Source organism: Homo sapiens, chromosome X (genome assembly GCF_000001405.40).
Source record: "Homo sapiens chromosome X, GRCh38.p14 Primary Assembly".
NCBI lineage: Eukaryota > Metazoa > Chordata > Mammalia > Primates > Hominidae > Homo > Homo sapiens.
In genome coordinates, this window is record NC_000023.11 from 43,729,486 (window position 1) to 43,750,787 (window position 21,302).

At 40.9% G+C, this 21,302-nt stretch overlaps 1 protein-coding gene across 2 annotated transcripts in view; it reads left to right on the forward strand.

The window, feature by feature from the left end:
* Positions 1-17,332, forward strand: part of MAOA (monoamine oxidase A) — a 91,812-nt gene extending 74,480 nt beyond the window's left edge. For both annotated transcript variants that reach the window (NM_001270458.2, NM_000240.4), the window contains 9 exons: positions 1,756-1,905; positions 2,209-2,368; positions 3,214-3,310; positions 6,742-6,795; positions 11,196-11,253; positions 12,465-12,562; positions 14,309-14,420; positions 14,624-14,686; positions 14,882-17,332. In NM_001270458.2, coding sequence (NP_001257387.1) covers positions 1,756-1,905; positions 2,209-2,368; positions 3,214-3,310; positions 6,742-6,795; positions 11,196-11,253; positions 12,465-12,562; positions 14,309-14,420; positions 14,624-14,686; positions 14,882-15,028 — 939 coding nt within the window. In that variant the 3' untranslated portion in view covers positions 15,029-17,332. The remainder of the gene's footprint in view (positions 1-1,755; positions 1,906-2,208; positions 2,369-3,213; positions 3,311-6,741; positions 6,796-11,195; positions 11,254-12,464; positions 12,563-14,308; positions 14,421-14,623; positions 14,687-14,881) is intronic.

Below are 21,302 nucleotides of genomic sequence, written 5' to 3' on the forward strand. Positions count from 1 at the left end.
AGTGAACAAGACAGAAACAGTTCGTGGTCTTTCCACCACACTAAAACTCAAAGTACCTCTTAGAAAACAGACCAGATTATAAGTTAAATGGTCTGGGTTTCTTGAGGAAAGACAAATCATGAATTTAGGTCTGAACCACTCTGGGAATTTTTTTTCCTTTTTTTAATTTAATTTTTGAGACAGAGTCTTGCTTTGTTGCCTAGCCTGGTCTCCAACTCCTGGGCTCAAGCAGTCCTTCCGCCTCAGCCTCTCAAAGTGCTAAGATCACAGGCATGAGCCACCATGCCTAGCCAGGAATATTTTTTATAAAGAACTTTGGTGTTGTTATTAAAACAGTAGCCAGTTACAAAAGTGCAAAAATCACTGCGTGGCTGCTTATGCAGTTTTCTGGAGGAGTATGATTGAGGAATCTGTTAGGAATCTTCTGGCTGGGCGCGGTGGCTCACACCTGTAATCCCAGCACTTTTGGAGGCCAAGGAGGGTGGATCACCTGAGGACAGGAGTTTGAGACCAGCCTGGCTAACATGATGAAACCCCATTTCTGCTAAAAATACAAAAATTAGCCAGGTGTCATGGCACGCACCTGTAATCCCAGCTACTCGGGAGGCCAAGGCAAGAGAATCACTTGAACCCAGGAGGCGGAAGTTACAGTGAGCCAAGATTGCGCCATTGCATGCCAGCTTGGGCAATAAGAGTGAAACTCCGTCTCAAAAAAAAAAAAAAAAAAAGAATCTTCTATAATAGGCTAAAAATATCCTTCTGGTTCTTACCAAAAGCATTGTGTTAAGGACTTACCTTCTTAGATTAAGCTGGAAACATTTCCATGGTGATCGTAGCAGAAGGCAGAGGGTAGAGCACTTCTGGTCTTATAAGGGCCGCTCAAGAGAACTATTTAACAATATCTAAAGGAGCAAGCAGATGCTTAGCCTTCACCCTCTGCCTCTGCCTTGAAGCTTCCAGATAGTTTTGCAAAAAGTTACTCAAGATCTGATATTCCGAATCTTTTTTTTTTTTTTTTTTTTTTGAGACGGAGTCTAGCTCTGTTGCCCACGCTGGAGTGCAGTGGTGCAATCTCGGCTCACTGCAACCTCCGCCTCCTGGGTTCAAGTGGTTCTCCTGCCTCAGCCTCCCGAATAGCTGGGATTACAGGCACGTGCCACCACGCCTGGCTAATTTTTGTAATTTTAGTACAGCCACAGCACCCGGCCCTTCTTCCCATTCTTAGAACATCATTTGGTGGTGACTAGTAGGACTAGTAGGACGTGACTATCCCTAAAAGCACCCTGTAACTTTGTCTATAATATGGCTCTATCTGCATCCTTACCTGCCTGGACAACCTCAGCCCAGAACACAGGAATCAAAGGAAATTAGAAACTTCATCCTCTGGAATAAGCCCTGTGCCTGCCCCTTCTCAGGGCTCCCTCCACACCCTGCACTCTTTGACATTTGAAGCCCACAGACTTGCTGATATTCCCCTTGGTCAGGGCAGCATTGGCATAGTGGAACATTTCTTCGGGTTCTGTGATTTTTATAAACTTGTAATGGCTTTTCTTTGCCAGAAGCTGTGCAGGGAATGATCATTGAATTGTCTTGGTCAACTCTGCCTCTGTCCTAATGAAGTCTTCTGACAGTTAAGTGTGCAGACGTTAGAGGTGTGGCCTGTGACTTTCTGGAGGTTTTCTAATCAGTAGCCAGTAGGATTTTCCTTCCTTGGGCTTTCATAATGTTTCCTTTCTTACCTACCTCCTCCTGTAGGAACGGAAGTTTGTAGGTGGATCTGGTCAAGTGAGCGAACGGATAATGGACCTCCTCGGAGACCAAGTGAAGCTGAACCATCCTGTCACTCACGTTGACCAGTCAAGTGACAACATCATCATAGAGACGCTGAACCATGAACATTATGAGGTAACTCAGTTTAGTCAAAAGGAGCATATAGTAAATAGGCCTTGTGTCTTTTGCAGTTTCTAACCAGATATAATTCAAGCAGTAGCATAATTAATGCTGACATGTTTCCGCCTCAGTCTTCCAAATTACCAGCCTTGGTTGACCTACCTTGATCTGTTTTGTTGCCTCACAGTTGCCTCATTTTCTCATTTTGTATGTTTTTACTGCTCAATGTTGTTTAGAAGTGATAAAGATGATTTTTCACGCCTGCCACAAAGACTGCAGCTCACATTTGAGGTAATATTTTGCTTGTGTGTGTTTTAGTGCAAATACGTAATTAATGCGATCCCTCCGACCTTGACTGCCAAGATTCACTTCAGACCAGAGCTTCCAGCAGAGAGAAACCAGTTAATTCAGCGGCTTCCAATGGGAGCTGTCATTAAGTGCATGATGTATTACAAGGAGGCCTTCTGGAAGAAGAAGGGTAGGCTGCTATTATTCATGTTTAAACTGTATTATATGAAGAAATCACAGTCTTTTAGGATTATTGAACAGAAGGTATTGAACAGAAACAAAGTATTTTCAAACTGGTAGAAAAAGGATTAGAAATCTTGGTCTGTCAATTTCCTCATATCCTTGGCCACACATAATGACCCCAAGAGCACTTGTTGGCAATGGGAGGGAAGAAGGAGATCACATCAGTCATAAGGCCACCATTGCCCTGACTCCTGGCATCTGTCCTGCTTCTTACTTTTTATGAGCAGAGTGAGGTCAACAGGCACCATGGAAAGAGCACTGCGTTGAAGTTACACATTCCGGGACTTCGCTTGCTTGCTAGCATCAGTCTGTAGCTGTAAAGTGGTGACAGTAATACCTACCACTACGGTGTTGTGAGAATTAAATGAGGCAGGATCTTGGACTTAGAAAGCTGCCCAGATATGGTGGCTACTGTTGATAAGCATTCTGGTTATACTCATCGGATTCCCTCCTCCCACCTCTTCCCTGGATTGGGTCATTCCCTCCAATGCAGCCCTTCTCTTTCCTCATGTATGCTAGGAGCCAGGGTTATCTTACCATTTTTGTCATGCATTGGCTGGTCATAAGCCCTTTATGTAAAGGTGATGGAGATGGGTCATTTTCTGTCTGTGGGTGAATAGACATCCTTATATATTCAGTGTGTGTATTTAACAAGACATGTAGGGTTGGGGCCAAGACCAAGAGTTTAAGTTTTTACTTCCTCTTAAAAAATAGTTTATATATATTTATGTGTGTATGGGTGTCTCTGATGAGCTTGATCTCGATCTCCCATTGATTTTTCTCCTGGTTAAGATTACTGTGGCTGCATGATCATTGAAGATGAAGATGCTCCAATTTCAATAACCTTGGATGACACCAAGCCAGATGGGTCACTGCCTGCCATCATGGGGTAGGTTAGAGCAGGGTGTTCTGCATTTTCCAAATTGTGTTGATGTATTGGTGTGGATGCTGTCAAAGTATATTACTTTGGAATTAAGTTCAAGCAATGATGAATAATGCTATCAAAATATATAATGTTTCCATGTGTTAAAATATTGCAGTAATGTTTCGTATGTAGCACAAGAATACTGGGAAACTTTACTAAAATTGACACCATTTTGAACTTGTACCCATGTATGTCTTTCTCTCATACAAAGCTTACGTGTTGAGGATGGAGTGAAAAAAAGCAGCTAGACAGGCAGTATGGTAGCCACCCCTGCCTACAGGCAGAATGTCCACAGCCATTCTGAAATGAGAACTAACCGCTTTATTCTATAAAAACATTCTAAATGTGGGGTTTCTCGGTTTTATCCTTTTCTCCATTCCAGATATCTGCTACATAGCAAATGTTAGTTGTTACCCTGAGATATAAGACAGCTGACCAATTAGGAGGCCCAGTTCAGAATTGAGCCAGGCCTTGATTGGATGGCATGGCAGTTTTTCTGGTGGGTCACTCTAGTTATCCTTCACCAGTGGTGCTTCACTTAACCTCTAAAGTGTGCGGATGACCCAGGGCCTGGTTCTGTGTAGGGAAAATGAGAGCTTTTCCCCTCTCTTCTCATTCCGGCACATAGCTGTCCTACTCGTTGGGGGCTGGGGAGTCCAGAGAAGGAAGTGGTGTCCCCACAAATGAATTGCTAAGGAGTTCCACAGCCTCCCTCTTGCCTGCCTTTTGGCCTCCTCAAAAACTATACAAATAAAAGGCGATTTATTCTACCACACTGTAACAAAAGAACATAGCTTCAGTAGCAATCAAGTGACTTTTAGAGACCAGTGGTCTCCCCTTTACCCCTAGGAAATGCATAGCTCTTGCTCAGAGGGAAAGGTGAACTCATGCACATCATGTCATTGAAGGAAAATTACAAAGGCAAAAGGAGCAGACCCACATCCCAGGGAAGTTAGAAAGCAGGTTGTGCTGCTGGTTACTAATGAGACATTTTATAACCACTTCTCTCATTGTAACATATAAGAACACCAGCCTCCCTGAGAAAGGCAGGTGCTTACAACATAATGACTGTTGGAATAACACATCCTCTTCATCTCTAACCCTATTGGGCAGAAGAGGATATAGGTTGTTTGGGTAGTTTGACATCATCTTCTATATGCCAGAGAAAAGCAGGAGGTTCAGGTACAGGTTTCAGGAGAATGTCGGTTAAGACAAATCCAACTATGAATGGAAGAGCAATTGATATTTTTCTTGCCCTGGGAGTTAGATATAGTGATGTCTTCTGCTGTTTTTGGGCTTTCTTTTTTTTTTTTTTTTTTTGGAAGTGGAACTCAATATTTTAATGATTTTACTTAAGATAAATAGTATAAAAGGAAAATGTTAAACGGTTGTGTTCTGTGGACAGTGGGGCTAAAACAAATATAAAATAATAATAATTGGTTATAGAGGACCAAGTACAGAAGATGAGAGTTTCCTTGGAAACTGGGGAATACCAAAATAATCTGTTTCTTAACTTGGCGATGTAGTCTTAAAAATTAAAGCTACCATTTATTGAGCATTGGTTGTGGGTGCAAGTTTTTATGTGTACAATGCTTTTGGGCTTTCTTCAGCTTTATTATTAACTAGGTTAGGGCTCAAATAACCTTCCAGGTGTTAATGGAGTTATTTAGGCAATTCTTAGAAAGTGATATTCTAATCTCTTTCATCTTGACACTTGCCTCCACCCTGCTCTTTGCTGATGGCCACAGCCACGAAAACCTTGAAGATAGGGGTGGTAATTGCCCAGCACTGTGTTTGTAATAAACTTTTGGAAACTAGAAAGGACCTTGTACTTTAGAACTGTGAAATGTTTCCAACACAAAGCCAGCATGTTTAATTTCCTCAATAAAACACCAAAGTAAGTTAAAGCTTATTTATCCATAGTTGGGATTAGATCAAAGAGATTATTTCATTCATGACTTGAGATTTGACAGAAATAACCAACACTAACTGCCCTTTGGGAAGGGAACTGTAAAAAGTATACAAGACAAGTTGACTAAAAATGTTTTCAGATAAATCATTTAATCTTTTATCAGATATTGATGATTAAAAAAAACTATATACATCTAAACTTACTGATTCTTGCATAAACCCAGAATCTAACTAAAATAATTAATAACAAGCTATAACTTGAGGTGTTAAATCATGCAAAATTATGACTATATCCCATAAAGTTCAATAGTTCAGATTTCCTAAATAGTCCACAGCTTTCTCTGAAATACTATTCTCTACATTAACATACATCTTTGCTTCTCAAAGTGATCTCAAATAACAGCCCTAAAGGAACTGCCAATCCAATTTGAGGAACACTTTAATTTGTGGGTAGGGAGAGGAGGAAATATCTGTTTTTTGCACTGATCTACCTGTCCTTTTGGTCTTGAATAAAAGAAATACAAATTTAAAAATTTTTTAATGGAAAAATAATTTCATTGTCCTTTAGCTCATTTGGATTTTTGAAAGCTTTCTAATAATAGTATAACTAAGGACTTCATGTCACAATTCAATTCTTTTAAATATACATGCAGTTAGTAATATCAGTATAATAAATAGAATATATTTGATTAAAGGGGAGCAGGCAGGTTATAACTGAGTTTTATTGAGTTACTTTATTTGGGGACTATATTAGGTCAGTTTCCAGGGAAGCTGACTCAGAGCTGGAGATCTGGGTGCTGGAACTTTATTGGGAAGTGCTCTGGGGATGACTACCTATGGCAGAAGGATTATGCGGAACTTGAGCTCCAATGTTGTCCCAACAAAGGCCTCTGCCATTCCCTTGGAAGTTCTGGAGCTGGGTGGCCCTTCAGAGTTGTCTTCAACCGCATCTAGGTCAGAACAACTCTAGGGAGGGGTGGGACCTTGAGCGAGGCATTCTCTGCTGCCCCGTCCAATTACTGGGGAAGGTTTCAGCTGTGAGGTAAGAGTAACGAGTGCCTGGTCCCAAAGGGAGCCTGGGGGGCCCACCGTGGCCTCCACTACAGACACATGTTTATATTTGTTTTTCCAGCTTTGATAAAGTATTTGGCAGAAGGCAACAGTCATTACCAGAATAATCATTTAGCACAACATTCATTCATTCAACATTTGATTTCCTACTATATGCCAAAAACCATGTTAAACTTTAGAAGTAAAATATTGAATAGGAGGTCACCTGTCGTGTAGGGGATCACAGCCTAGCAGGGGTTTTGGACACACAGGCAGACCAAAGACAATATGGCATTTGCCCTACTAGAGGAGGAGGGTCTGAGAGAGTTCATTTCATGCTGAATAGCTACAGGTTAAGAATACTTCAGAAAGAAAGGGCAGCTCTTAAAATAAACAGCTGTAACCTGATCATTCAATGTAACCTCTCTCTCCAGCTTCATTCTTGCCCGGAAAGCTGATCGACTTGCTAAGCTACATAAGGAAATAAGGTAAGAATTTATAACTGAAAAATAGATGAAAAAGTTAGCTTTGTATTTTGTTTTTGCACTGACAGTAGTAGAATAACATGAGGAAAAACACAGTACTTCACAAATATTCTCAAAATTCCAACAAACCAACCTTTTGTATTTTGCTACAGCCCTCTTGACCTAGCCCTTGCCCGTGTGCATATATTAATTTTACATGTTCGTGTTTATTTTACAGTAGTTAAGAGGTAGGATTTCCCTGAGAGATGGATGGATAAAAATCATAGAAAATATTAGCTGTGAAAAATGCTGTAGAAACCGAATCCCAATCCTCTTTCAAGGCCATAATCTTTTTCTAAGATTCTCTGACATGGACTTTCTAAAAAGTATATTTTAACCTGTAGCAACTTTTGTACATGAAAATATTCACTACTGCTTATCTGGGACACAGTTCTGATGTTCCCTTATCTGAAAGCTTCCTAGTATAAAATTTATTTTAGGACAGTGGTTTTTTTTTTTTTCTTTCTTTCTCCCTTTCTCTTCCTGTCATGGTATATTTGTTTTGTTTTGTTTTGGAATCCTTTGTTCAATTAAAGTCTTACCTGAAGAGGTAAGCCTTTTAACATCAGAGTTATTTGGCTGTTGGAGGGTTGCCTCTGGGTAGCCCTAAATCCTCTGCTAGCTTTTAAAGAGGTCCAATACATACACAAAAATATAGACTTTTCTCTGAATGTAATTTAAAAAATTAAACAGCTAACCCATTAGCAGCCGTTGCTTTGGGAGTTACTCTGATGACTTTAGAAGTGGGGGAAAGGCTGCAGAATGAGTTCCTACATGTGCACACGGATTTGTTTATTTGAATCTCATGGTTTGCAGGTAAGCTTTACATGGAAGAAACTCCCAGTTTCAATTAGCAGGTTCTTCTCTGTTCACTGTAAGTGGTAAATGGTTGAATCTCAACAATCATGGGATTCAAACAACCATGAGATTGTGGAATCTCATGGTTGTTAAAAATAAACTCTACTCACTCAATGGAGGAGGGATTTGGGGTCCAGTGATGGGGAATGATTTGTTCAAGCCTCCATAGCTAGTGTCTTAGTGCATTTGTGATACTGTAACAAAGTGCCTGAAACTGGGTAATTTATGAAGAATAGAAATTTATTTCTCACAGTTCTAGAGGCTGGGAAGTCCAAGATTATGATGCCAACAGATTCAATTCAGTGTTTGGTGAGAACCTGTTCCGTAGGTAGCACTTTCTCATGGTGCCCTCACATGGCAGAAAAGGCAGAAGGAGGAAGGACAAAAAGTGATGAAGGTGGTATCCTCACTTGGAGGAAGGCAGAAGGGCAGAAAGGGCCTAGCTAGTTCCCTCCAGCCCATTTATAAGGGCACTAATCTATTCATGAGAGCAGAATCTTCCTGATTTCATCATTTCCGCAGAGACCCCACCTCAAAATACCATCACCTTGGAGGTTAAGTTCCAACATTTAAATTTTGGAGGGACACATACATTCAAATCATCGCAGCTAGCTTGTGACAAAAAGTCTGGAGTAGCATATAGCGCATACTTTTTCATTACACCACACTAAGCTGACATTTTCTTTTGGATTTCCTGCTTTCCCTCCTTATTAATAGTAAAATAAATACCAGCCTGTAGGTAGACATTTGGTTATGATTCCACACAGTGGCTGAACTTCTCAAAAGTTCTTGTAAGGCAAAACCCTTACTAAATATGTCATTGACAAAAACAGTGGTTCCCAGATCTGACTGCATCAAAATATCCCAAAAGATGTTTGGAAAATATGTTTTTATAAGACCTATAGATTGTGATTGAGTAGGTTTGAGGTGGGGCCTGTGTATTTGTATTTTTCAACAAGCTTTTCAGGTGATTATGATAAGCAACCAGATTTAGAAACCAGTGAATAAGTTCAACGAGATGATTTGCACAGTGGCCTCTTTTATTCATCACTTAGGTTCTGTTATTTTTAGAGCCAAATTAATCAATCAGTGCATTGTTTTAACATCCTTGCCTTACATATCTTTTCCAAAAATTTTTAATTTTAAAGGGAAGAAGGGAAAGGGAAAGATAATTTCCTATGTTTGTGTGAACACATCCTTGGCTCTTCTAATAATATGAAATACAGTAAATAATGACTTGTAACTATTATAATTGTTTTTAACATTCATGAATGAAAACTAACTACAATGTGGGTTGATTGGATTTCAGGTTTCACTCTGCTTTAATAAAAATTTTATTACACATCCAGAAAGTAAGTTAAGCAGGCCTGGCGCATTGGCTCACACCTGTAATCCCAACACTTTGGGAGGCTGAGGCAGGCAGACTGCTTGAGTGCAGAGGTTGAAGACCAGCTTGGGCAACATAGAGAAACCGTCTCCACAAAAAAATAAAAAAATTAGCCAGGCCTGGTGACATGTATCTGTAGTCCCAGCAACTTGGGAGGCTGAGGCGAGAGGATCACCTGAGTCCAGGGAGGTTAAGGCTGCAGTGAGCCATAATCGTGCCACTGCATTCCAGCTTGGGTGACAGAGTGAGACCCTATCTCAGAAATAATAATAACAGTAATAAGTTAAGTACTGTTGAGCTTTTTTAGAATAATCATTGCCGATACTTTCATTTTCTAATTAACTTGAAATGTCTGAATTATTGCTTGTAACACCCTTGTGAAGTAGGTGTTAGAATCAGTCATCTCTTCATAGACTAGGCAAAGAGTAGGCTGAGGATGGGTTTTGACTGAACAAATATTTATTGAGTACCTACTATGGGCAGATTACTCAGAAGGGTAATAGCCTTACCCTGCTATTAATTAGCTGAGCAAAATCAAACAGATCTCTGCAGCTCCCTGAGCCTCGGTTTCCTCATCTCTGAAATGAGGGGCTTGAATCAGGCTGAGAGAGACAGACAGACAGACAGTAGTCTTGAGACTTCTTCCCATTCTTCTTTTCCTTTATGACTTTTTATGTATAATGTGAGCAGCTCTTTGAAGGAAGCCAAACTTCCTCTGACTATCCTGAAATTTAACTATCCACCTAAATATCCATCTAATGTTGCATGACATCATCTCAGGAGTGGCATTTGTCTCTCCCTTAAACCTTCCATGGAAAATGGTAACAATAAGCAAAGTTTATAATCTGCCTCCTCCTCCTGATTTTATACATATGAGGTGAATGTTCTGGAAGTTATAAAAATGGTTTAAGTGTGAGGATTTAGATAAATTTATAAGGTTACACTTTGTCCCATGTTATTCAGAGAAATTGGGGGCATGTCTTTAAAATATTTTCTAATGTAATTGGCAACATAAAATTGTATATTTCTAAATCTCTATTTCTTTATTACCAGTAAGCTTGAGCTCCCCCCGCCCTGCATAATTTTGTCTCTTCAGCTTTTAATACTTGTCTTACAGATTTGACTCAAACCTTTTGCCACATTTTTAAGCAAATATTTTTCCAGTTGCTTGTTATCCCTTAACAAATATTTTAGAGCATTTTCAAATGTTTAAACTATATTAAAACTATAAAAGGTAAATAGGAAAAGTATATAACTGGATCAGTGTGAACCTATGCAAACAAATCCAGAAATAAAACCATTAATTTCTAAAACAGGTGATTTTAGTAAATTAGACTTTTAAAAAAATTCACCATGAGTAGTTGTGAGTTTAAAATGTATTTCGTTTCAAAAAGAGTTTATATAAGTACAACCACTAACTTTTTCAGACATGAAAATACCATGTTCTGGGCTAGTCATTTAGATAATGAATTATGAGAATAACCAAAGGCTGTGTTTGAGGTAACATTAGCATATTTTGCCCATCCCTCAGATACACTTTGAAATACTGTGGTCCACAGACCATTCTATCAAGTGACAAATTCCTAGACTGAAATGACTGTAGATACTTTCTGTATAGCATATCTTATGTTATGCTTAAAAGATGAAATGAGCTTTATATGTTTGTAGGTAATTAAAACACAAGTATAGGATAGTTAAAAGACACCATCACTTATACTATAGACTTATAAAAGGGATCATTTTAGAACTCTACGTATTCCAGAAAAGTTATATAGAATCAGTTCCTAAGACTGGCTAAACTTAATTGAATTCATTTTTCCCATTTTTATCTCGAGAAGATATCATATTAGGTAGTGAAAGAGGCAAAAATGTAAAAAAAGAAAAGAATAATTCCATTGAATCCTCAAATTAAATGACTACTGAGGCATTGAAAGTTAATTTGAGTGCGGGGATTCATGGAAATGTTCATTTGTGCAGTTACAGAAGGCCATGGATTTTAATTTATCTGTAATAAATCTGGTTGATACCAAGAGCTCTAGAACTCACTGTATTTATTCTATACCCATCAGTTACTCCTTCCCTAACTTTATTTTTTTTTTTTTTTGGCTCTGTTTTATAGGAAGAAGAAAATCTGTGAGCTCTATGCCAAAGTGCTGGGATCCCAAGAAGCTTTACATGTAAGAAACTCCCAGCTTTAATCCCTAGCAGGTTCTTCTCTGTTCACTATAAGTAGTAAAGCAAAGCATATTCTGATTTTTTGACAGTCTTATGAAGAGAGTATAAAGCGATATGCTTAACTTGGAGGATAAACTTCAGCAGTCACAAAAGGTCATTAAAAGCTGGTATTAGGCGCATGGAATTTCTGACACAGCAACTTCTTTGGGCTGTTTAAATGTTCACTAGATAACTGGCAGCCAATTGTAATGAGAGCCTAGAGCTGCAGGGATTATGTCAAGAATGGGTGAGTTGGGTTCCTAGAACAGAAGTCCTGCCCCCAGTCAGTGTCACTTACCTGCTGCACAATTAAATTCCAGATATGTTATCATTTGTTGGTGAAGGCAAAGTAGTATGTACTTGACAAGATAGACTGAATCTAGAGTCTCTTCCCAGGTCAAAGTCATACTAATTTGTTTTTCCATGTGTGAACTCAATTCACAACTCATTTAGGAATATCAGTGCTTTCAATCCACCACTGAAAGCAATTAGGAGAATGAAATTACGTCTTTTTGAAAAAAAAAATAGAATGGCTGAGCGCTCTTTCAGGGGCTTGTCTCTAAACTGTTCAAATAATAAACTTTCTGAATGTGCCAGGGAAATTAGAGAAGGTTCTCTCATGTCCCCTAGGAAATAGTTTTCATCTTAATTGCCGCTTTTTCGTGGAATTCCCATCATACATGTTTCCAGCTTAGAAAAGTGGCTGGGAAAAAAGCCTTTCTTAGACATTTGTTTGTCTTCTGCCTCCTCCCTCCCACCCTTTCCTTAGCAATAATGCCTGATAGATGGGGAAGTAAAGTCTGTTATTAGGGACTCCAGAGATTTGAGCAGACCTTTCCACAAGCTGAATTGTTGATGGGGTTTCCTATAGACTTAGCTCTAAAGACTTCAGAATCTGCATGGATGGATGGATACCCCTCTCTCCCAGATACTGGAATACTTCATGTCTTCCCTAATCAAGAAAATGGGAAGAGCAAAGTATACATGTTTTGCCACATGGTACTTCACAAAAGGCCATTGCTTGGTACTATCATGTTTCCCCTTAAGTGAGTTAGAAAAACAGGATTTTCTTTATTTTCTTAATGTAAACTTTTTGTTAAAGCAACGATATTATTGACTCGCAGCATTTCAGCTTTGTTTTCTCTTTTGTATTTTCTTCCCCACTGAACTGCAGCCAGTGCATTATGAAGAGAAGAACTGGTGTGAGGAGCAGTACTCTGGGGGCTGCTACACGGCCTACTTCCCTCCTGGGATCATGACTCAATATGGAAGGTATTACGCAAGCACTACGCCAATTAATCCAAGACCTGTGCCAAATTTAAAAGGAAAAGCAGAGTTCAATGCAAATTCTAGAAATAGTTGTCAAAATCCCCATTTCTTATGTCCTAGATAATACTTGTATATTTCTGGATGTCCATAGAAAAATAAGGATGTCATTACATAGAACAATAGCTGTCAGCATACAGAACAATAGCAGAACAGTGGGGAGGATTTCAGATGTGAACAGTGCTTGTGAGAATGAAGCAAGCTACAGTGTCCTCCAAGGGGACTTCGTGAGCTCAACTTGACATTTAGTCTCACATGACTGCCTTAGGCTCCTTGGCACCAGTCAACACAGAAGGACATTGGATGTGTTTATCCAACACTTCTGTCTTGCCAACAGAGCAGCATCAGCAGACAGTCCTCTTCAGGGGAAGAGTCCTCACTGTATACAGTTGAGATGTGAGGAAATGACATCCACGTGGGGTGGGTCCACCTTGACCTAGAAGCCCCTTGCTCCATGGGAGCCATTATCTCTATGCTTCATAGGCATAGTGTCCGGTACCTTGCTCAGTTATAAGACTTGCTCAGTTACAAGAGACACCACACTCAGGGAAGCCCAAAGTGATAGCCTCCTACCAGGTATTTACAATTCATTTAGAGTCCTCCCAGCCTGGATGCAGTTCACTAATGTGGGGATGGGAGGGGAGGCACTTTTAGCATAAATGGTGTTGCCTCCATAGATGGCATTACACCTTCATCTGGTTTCCAGAGAAACAGAGCTAGAAAGTTAATACAAGGTCACATTTGTCCACTGAAAAGGAGGAAGTATTTATTAACCTTTTCGTTACAGGAGTTTTTAGTCTGTTTTTTTTTCTTCTTAATTGAGTCAGATCGCCTTTGTTAACAATAGCAGGATTGATGAACTGGATTAGTTCTGGTATCAAAGTAGAAGTCTAGAAGACAAGACTAAGATGAGGAATAGATGAAACCCAGGGTTCTGGAATTGGAAAAAGGAGTGCCAACGGGTTGAGATGAAGGCCATCAGGGTGGGGGGCAGGACATGCAGCTTGGGAGAGTTCATGAAACTAGCTGTGGACATGGCAGGAGTCAAAGCCAAAAAGTTGGAGGGGACAGCTGTCCATTCAGTCCAGCCCTTCTTTGTAAGAGGAGACCCATTTCCTTGCTCTCAGCCAGTCCCCAGAGAAGTTCAGAGAAGCTAACTGTACAGAGGTTGTTTTCTTAAAGAGACACACCCATATAATGTCTCAGGTCTCTCCTTTGCCAGAAATGATAGTTGACGTCCCTGTCTTCCCACCTGCCACTGCAGTTCCTCCTGACACACTGGGAGTGCCTGCAAAGCTGGATCTGTGGCTGTTTTCAAGAAGAGTGCACCTTCCCCCGAGAAAGACAGGACAGGGAGAAGAATGGACTGCCAACAGGAAACAGCAAAGAAATCTGATTTGGGGATTGAATACATGTTCTTATATTCCAGCTCTGGCTGGCTTGGAAAAGATCAACATCCCCTTTAATGATTGATGATCTGATGGCCTGATTCTCCCTGACTTGAAAGTTCAGATCCTCTATGCAGATCCAGAAAGCAAAAAGTGGCCTTTCACCTTGGGCTAAGTCATACGGGTGTTTTTTAAACAGTCTGAATTTCTGTGCCTTCTGCAGACTAAATGAGGGCAGTGATTGGCTCATTTACCCTGCCCACCTTCCCAAGTAACTCTGTGTAACCTCTTGGTTCCCTTGAAGGGTGATTCGTCAACCCGTGGGCAGGATTTTCTTTGCGGGCACAGAGACTGCCACAAAGTGGAGCGGCTACATGGAAGGGGCAGTTGAGGCTGGAGAACGAGCAGCTAGGGAGGTAAGCAGGAAAGCCCAGGCTCTCTCCCTCCCGAGTCACGGCAACGTTTTTGGCATCTGGTCTTGCTAGTTCTTGACACTGATAGAATCTGTATGTCCATTTCTCTGCCCCTCACTCATGGGGCTCATCTGTGGCTAGCAGGGCCTTGAATCTGTAGAAACTATACAGCCTCTTTTCATAATACCATGGTGACTTTCTTTCAGGTCTTAAATGGTCTCGGGAAGGTGACCGAGAAAGATATCTGGGTACAAGAACCTGAATCAAAGGTAAGTTTGGTGACTCTGGGCACTATCTCTCCTTAGACCAATCATGGAACATAAAACTCACATCTCCCTTCTTCTAGCCTCCGATTTAATTATAGATGCAACTATCCCAGGGGTCTCCATGCATGGATCTTGCAGTGTTTTGTTCCTCCTTGTCAGCATGAGTTTTTTGCTCATGATCTGTGTTCCTTCATCTAGGACGTTCCAGCGGTAGAAATCACCCACACCTTCTGGGAAAGGAACCTGCCCTCTGTTTCTGGCCTGCTGAAGATCATTGGATTTTCCACATCAGTAACTGCCCTGGGGTTTGTGCTGTACAAATACAAGCTCCTGCCACGGTCTTGAAGTTCTGTTCTTATGCTCTCTGCTCACTGGTTTTCAATACCACCAAGAGGAAAATATTGACAAGTTTAAAGGCTGTGTCATTGGGCCATGTTTAAGTGTACTGGATTTAACTACCTTTGGCTTAATTCCAATCATTGTTAAAGTAAAAACAATTCAAAGAATCACCTAATTAATTTCAGTAAGATCAAGCTCCATCTTATTTGTCAGTGTAGATCAACTCATGTTAATTGATAGAATAAAGCCTTGTGATCACTTTCTGAAATTCACAAAGTTAAACGTGATGTGCTCATCAGAAACAATTTCTGTGTCCTGTTTTTATTCCCTTCAATGCAAAATACATGATGATTTCAGAAACAAAGCATTTGACTTTCTGTCTGTGGAGGTGGAGTAGGTGAAGGCCCAGCCTGTAACTGTCCTTTTTCTTCCCTTAGGCAATGGTGAACTGTCATTACAGAGCCTAGAGGCTCACAGCCTCCTGGAGGAAGCAGCCTCCACTTTGGATCAGGAAATAGTAAAGGAAAGCAGTGTTGGGGGTAGCGGCATGCAGACCCTCAGACCAGAATGGGGACATCTTGTGGTCTGCTGCCTCAGGAATCTCCTGACCACTTGTAGTCCCTCCGACTTCTCTAGACATCTAGTCTCAGTGCTAGCTTATTTGTATTTTTCCTCTTTCACTTCTTATGGAGGAGAGTGTTTAACTGAGTTAGAATGTTGAAACTGACTTGCTGTGACTTATGTGCAGCTTTCCAGTTGAGCAGAGGAAAATAGTGGCAGGACTGTCCCCCAGGAGGACTCCCTGCTTAGCTCTGTGGGAGACCAACTACGACTGGCATCTTCTCTTCCCCCTGGAAGGCAGCTAGACACCAATGGATCCTTGTCAGTTGTAACATTCTATTTCAACTTCAGGAAAGCAGCAGTTTTCTTTTAATTTTTCCTATGACCATAAAATTAGACATACCTCTCAACTTACATATGTCTTCAACATGGTTACCTCTGCATAAATATTAGCAAAGCATGCCAATTTCTCTTAAGTACTGAAATACATATGATAAATTTGACTGTTATTTGTTGAGACTATCAAACAGAAAAGAAATTAGGGCTCTAATTTCCTTAAAGCAAGCTCACTTGCTTTAGTTGTTAAGTTTTATAAAAGACATGAAATTGAGTCATTTTATATATGAAAACTAAGTTCTCTATCTTAGGAGTAATGTCGGCCCACAAGGGTGCCCACCTCTTGTTTTCCCCTTTTAAAAACTCAGATTTTTAAAAGCCCTTTCCAAAGGTTTCAACTGTAAAATACTTCTTTTTACAATGTATCAACATATTTTTATTTAAGGGGAATTAACAATTGCCAGGGAAACCAGCCAACCCAAGTTTATTATATCATTAACCTTATCATAAATTCAAACCTAAGTTGCTGGACCCTGGTGTGAGGACATAAATCTTCCAAAGTTTTGCCTATCCTAAGAGCTGCATTTTTCTACTGCTCTTTACCTTGCATTTTAGCTAATTTAGGAGTTTTGAGAATGTATTGGATACGCTCCAGTACATAAGGAGTTGCCGCATATTATATCAGACTGCTTTGAGAAATCTCATCCCTAGTCTATTGCAGTTGTTTCTATTAGCTTACTGATTAACTCAGTCCTGACACACCTTTTGGGAAATGCTGATTTAAACTTCTTAACTGGCAACAGTTGGAACAGTAATCAGTTTGCTAACATATTTAAAGTCTTGAATGTTGAAGAACTCATGTGATTTACCCTTTTCAACTTTTTGGAAAACGATTTAATTTATTCTAATTAGATTAACCCTATTAATCTATGGATTGGGTATCAAAATGAATGCCAGTCCAGATGTGCCTAGACACGAAATTGGAGCTGAGGACTCTCACGATATGCAAGTTCATCCAACGTGAAGATACCATAAGCTTTTTCTCTGAACCAGAGAAATGAAAGTCAGTTTAAGAGGCTGATAGATCTTGGCCCTGTTAAGGCATCCACTTCACAGTTCTGAAGGCTGAGTCAGCCCCACTCCACAGTTAGGCCAAGAATTAGATTTTAAAACTTCATCTGTCTGTCCCAGTTAACTGTTAAATAAGGCCTCATCCTCCACTGAAGAGTATGGATTGAAGGATTGTGAACTATGTTTAGTGTGATTGTGAACTTGGTGCCTAATGTTCCATGTCTGAAGTTTGCCCCAGTGCTACACGTTGGAGTATACCTATGTGTGTGCTTTGCCACTGAAGTAAGATTTTGCCTGTATGGTACTGTTTTGTTTGTTAATAAAGTGCACTGCCACCCCCAATGCAGACTCGACTCCTGTATTTAGTTGATGGCTCTATGCAGAAAGTTCAATGGCTTCTTATAGCAGGAGGTCACAATGAGGCATTGTCCATGGAGGATAGGCTTAGGAAATTGTTTAATACCGACTGCAAATTCTCAAAGTTGAGTTTGACTCTCATGTGTTATTGAGGTTTTCTGGGAACTGATTAAACACTGAAATACTGTAGCCTGCCTAACTGGGCCACAGATGTGGATTCTGGTCCAAGTTTTCTCACCTAGTAGCTTATGATAACTTGAGCAAGTCACTTTGGTTCTCTCGGTCTCCACATCTGGAAAAGGTTGGGTTGCATTAGATGACTTCTGAGCATTCTTTTCACGGCAGCATAATGTGATCTATGCATTTTGTTGCCAGCACTGTAACTGTTTTTGCCTATTGGTATGCCAGGGGCAAAAAAATCAGTCTTTCTGTACCCTGGTTTACTCCTTGTCCTAGATTGGGTTCCCTGGAAACAGACTCTAAGATACAGAGTCAGGGCAAAAAGTTTATTGAAGACAATCCTCAGGAAATACACCTAAGAGGGTGAGGAAGGTAGGATTGGGCAGGAGAGTCGACCTACAATGCAGTTGCAACTACAGGTTCTAATGAGGAGCTAGGAAGACCCTTCAGAAGTATCCCTCATTGAGACAAGGAGGTCTGGACTCTGTGACCCTTCATCAGCCTCCCCCTGAGAGAGGGTGTTACCTTGAGTAAGGCAGGTTCAAGGACAATTTCTAGTGAGGAACTGTAGCTGGGATCTTCGACCAGCCTGTATTCCCTGCAGATCCAGGGTGGAGCACTGCATTATCTACTTTATTCTCATAGAAAGTTGCCTTGTCATGTAAAAGACATTGTGGACTTGAGCTTTGGCTTTATAGATAGAATGGAGCTCTCGCTGTGAACCTATCCCTGTTAGGTAAGGGAACTTCCTTTAGAGGGTTGTATTTCTGCACTATTCTTTACATGGAAGAAAAAAAAATCAGAATTGGAAGGAACCCTGGAAATAATTCAATCTCTGTCTCAATGAATGAGCCCCATCTACAGAAAACTAACAGAAAGATCAAAGGGAAAAATAAGCATTTCTAAAGAGGAGTCCTAAATTCAATGTCTTCAGGAGTTGGGCAGCTAAAAACGAACAGCAGCAGACATAAGACATTTGGGAATACTGAGGACTGGCTGACCTAGGAAGTATGTGCCCTTCTAAAGAGCATTTATATTCAAATTCCTTGAAAAGATTGCTGATCAATTAAAACACATTTGGGGTGGGTGCAGTGGCTCACACCTCTAATCCCAGCACTTTGGGAGGCCGAGGCAGGTGGATTATTTGAGGTAAGGAGTTCAAGACCAGCCTGACCAACATGGTGAAATCCTGTCTCTACTAAAAATACAAAAATTAGCCCAGCGTGGTGGTGCATGCCTGTAATCCCAACTACTTGGGAGGCTGAGACAGGAGAATCACTTGAACCTGGGAGGCAGAGGTTGCAGTGAGCCGAGATCGCGCCATTGCACTCCAGCCTGGATGACAAGAGCAAAACTCTGTCTCAAAAAATAAAAGGCCGGGCACGGTGGCTCACGCCTGTAATCCCAGCACTTTGGGAGGCCAAGGCGGGCGGATCACGAGGTCAAGAGATCGAGACCATCCTGGCCAACATGGTGAAACCCCGTCTCTACTAAAAATACAAAAATTAGCTGGGCGTGGTGGCAAGTGCCTGTAGTCCCAGCTATTCAGGAAGCTGAGGCAGGAGAATCGCTTGAACTAGGGAGGCGGAGGTTGCAGTGAGCCAAGATCGTGCCACTGCACTCCAGCCCTGGTGACGGAGTGAGACTCTGTCTCAAAAAAAATAAAAAAATAAAAATAAATAAAATAAATAAAAATAAAATAAAATAAAAAATAAAACACATTTGAAGGCTTGGTTCACATGTCCAAGTTGTCTTCAAGTCCTTGATAAAGAAGTGCAAGGTTTGGTTTTGCATCACTTAAATGATGTATTTTCCATCACTTACAAGTTCTTTTTGGATGTCTGATTTTCTGAGAAATAAGCACAAAGATCAGCAACCACTTTGTAAAACTACCTGGAGTGAGTAGGAGAGGCCTGGGTTGGAATGGCAAAAAAGAAAAACAAAGACAGAAAAAAGTCTTCTTAGACCAGAAATCTCCCTTAAGAAATTACCCTTCCCCAGCCCAGCATACCGTGGCAGTGTTTATCTCCTGCTATGTGAATGTCACGATTGACGAGAGCAGTGTCAGACTTTATTGGAAAAACCACATATTTGCAGTGAGATAGAAATCACCGCTCTTCTATTAACATTTATTCTGTGCTATGATATAATTTCAGCAAACAGGACATCAACATTGAGTGTATTAATTTTTTCAAACTATACTCCTTGCTTTACACTGAGGTGGTGGTAAATGTGCAAGGCATGCCCCTTAGCCTAAGGAAGCTGACTGAGACATTAGAGGAAGAGGATGAAAACAAAGGAAGGTACTAGGTAATAGTAACAGTTCTCTTTCCTCTATCAGAGCCCAGGGCTTGGCTCTCTTCCTTGATCAAGGCCATTCTTTTCAGAGTTTGAAGGCAAAAGCAGGTCTCAAAGTGACAGTAGATGTGAACTGGTTGTCTCAGCCTGGAGCCAAGTTTCTGAAAAGCAGCTTTGGAAGCCTCATGTGAAAAAGCTGGCTTGAGGAAACTTGCCATTCATTCAAGGTGGGCTGTGGGCCCTTCAAGTAAGACCTCCCCTTAATGCACGTGTGATCCATCAAAGGCTACTATTTATTTACACTCCAAACAGTAACACCTCAATGGGAACCAGGTTTTCCTATTAATGGGCCTCATATATTTTCCACAAACCACCGAGGTCTATGGGTGAAATAGAGTGGAGGAAAGAGGTGTGGGTGTGTGCTGGGGGATGGGGAGGTAGGGACAGGGAAAGAGACGAAGATTGGCGGGGGTGGGGTGCTTAAAGGTCCACAGAGTAGTGCAGTAATGAGAATCTTGATGGATTGATATAGGGCACCCCTGCACCTTGTGTCATTTACTTTTTACATGCCCCTAGATAAGTACTGTGGCTTGAAGTACCTGTCTTACAGAATTGATGGGAAAACAGAGATAATGCAGGTAACGGCTTAATGCAGCAAGCACTCAGTAGGCATCAGCTCTTCTCCATCAACCTTTTAGAATAGCAGAAAGGAAGCACTGCTTAAGTTTTGCGAGCAGTTATTACCTTGAATTTCTTACAATCATTCAACACCTACTTATTGAGCACCTACTATGTGGTAGGTAGGCACCATGCTGTGATTCAGCAGTGTACAAGACACAGCCCACCTCATGGAGCACACAGTTGATTGTAGATACTGTGGAACACATTAATTGTGGCTCTGGTCAGTGCTATTACAGAAAAGCATGAGGTGCTAGGAATGCAGGGGAAGCACGATTTAAGAGGAAGTTACCAGAATCCTCAGGCCTCCATAAGCATCACTGTGTGGCAAGAGACTAAGGACACCACATAGTGAGACAGGAAGTAAAAAATAGAAATGGCATGACTAAATGGTAAAGAAAACCACATCTGCAACTAATAAGTGCTGACTGTTAAGTCCTATTTGTCCCATTGACCGTAGTTCACCCCATCAGTCTTTTACTGTTCCCCTGTCTGCCCAGCCCTTCTCTGCACTTGGAGCTCTTTAACGACTGTGATTGACTATCTTCCAGCACCTGTGCTAGGGGGCGGCCCCAATTTGTTTTAAAAGAGTGCCATCTTCTGGCCAATTAGTGTTGTTTCCTTCTAGTGGAAATCCTAAAGTATTCAAGACAGCCTCGCTCTTGGGGAAACTAAGAAGCGTCACCTCCACCCAGAATTTCCTCCAACACATTTGCCTGCACTCTCTTACTTTGTTTTCAGTTGTGACATGGATCAATATTGATATCTAATATTTGCAGCCTTTCCTCTGCCCTAATCT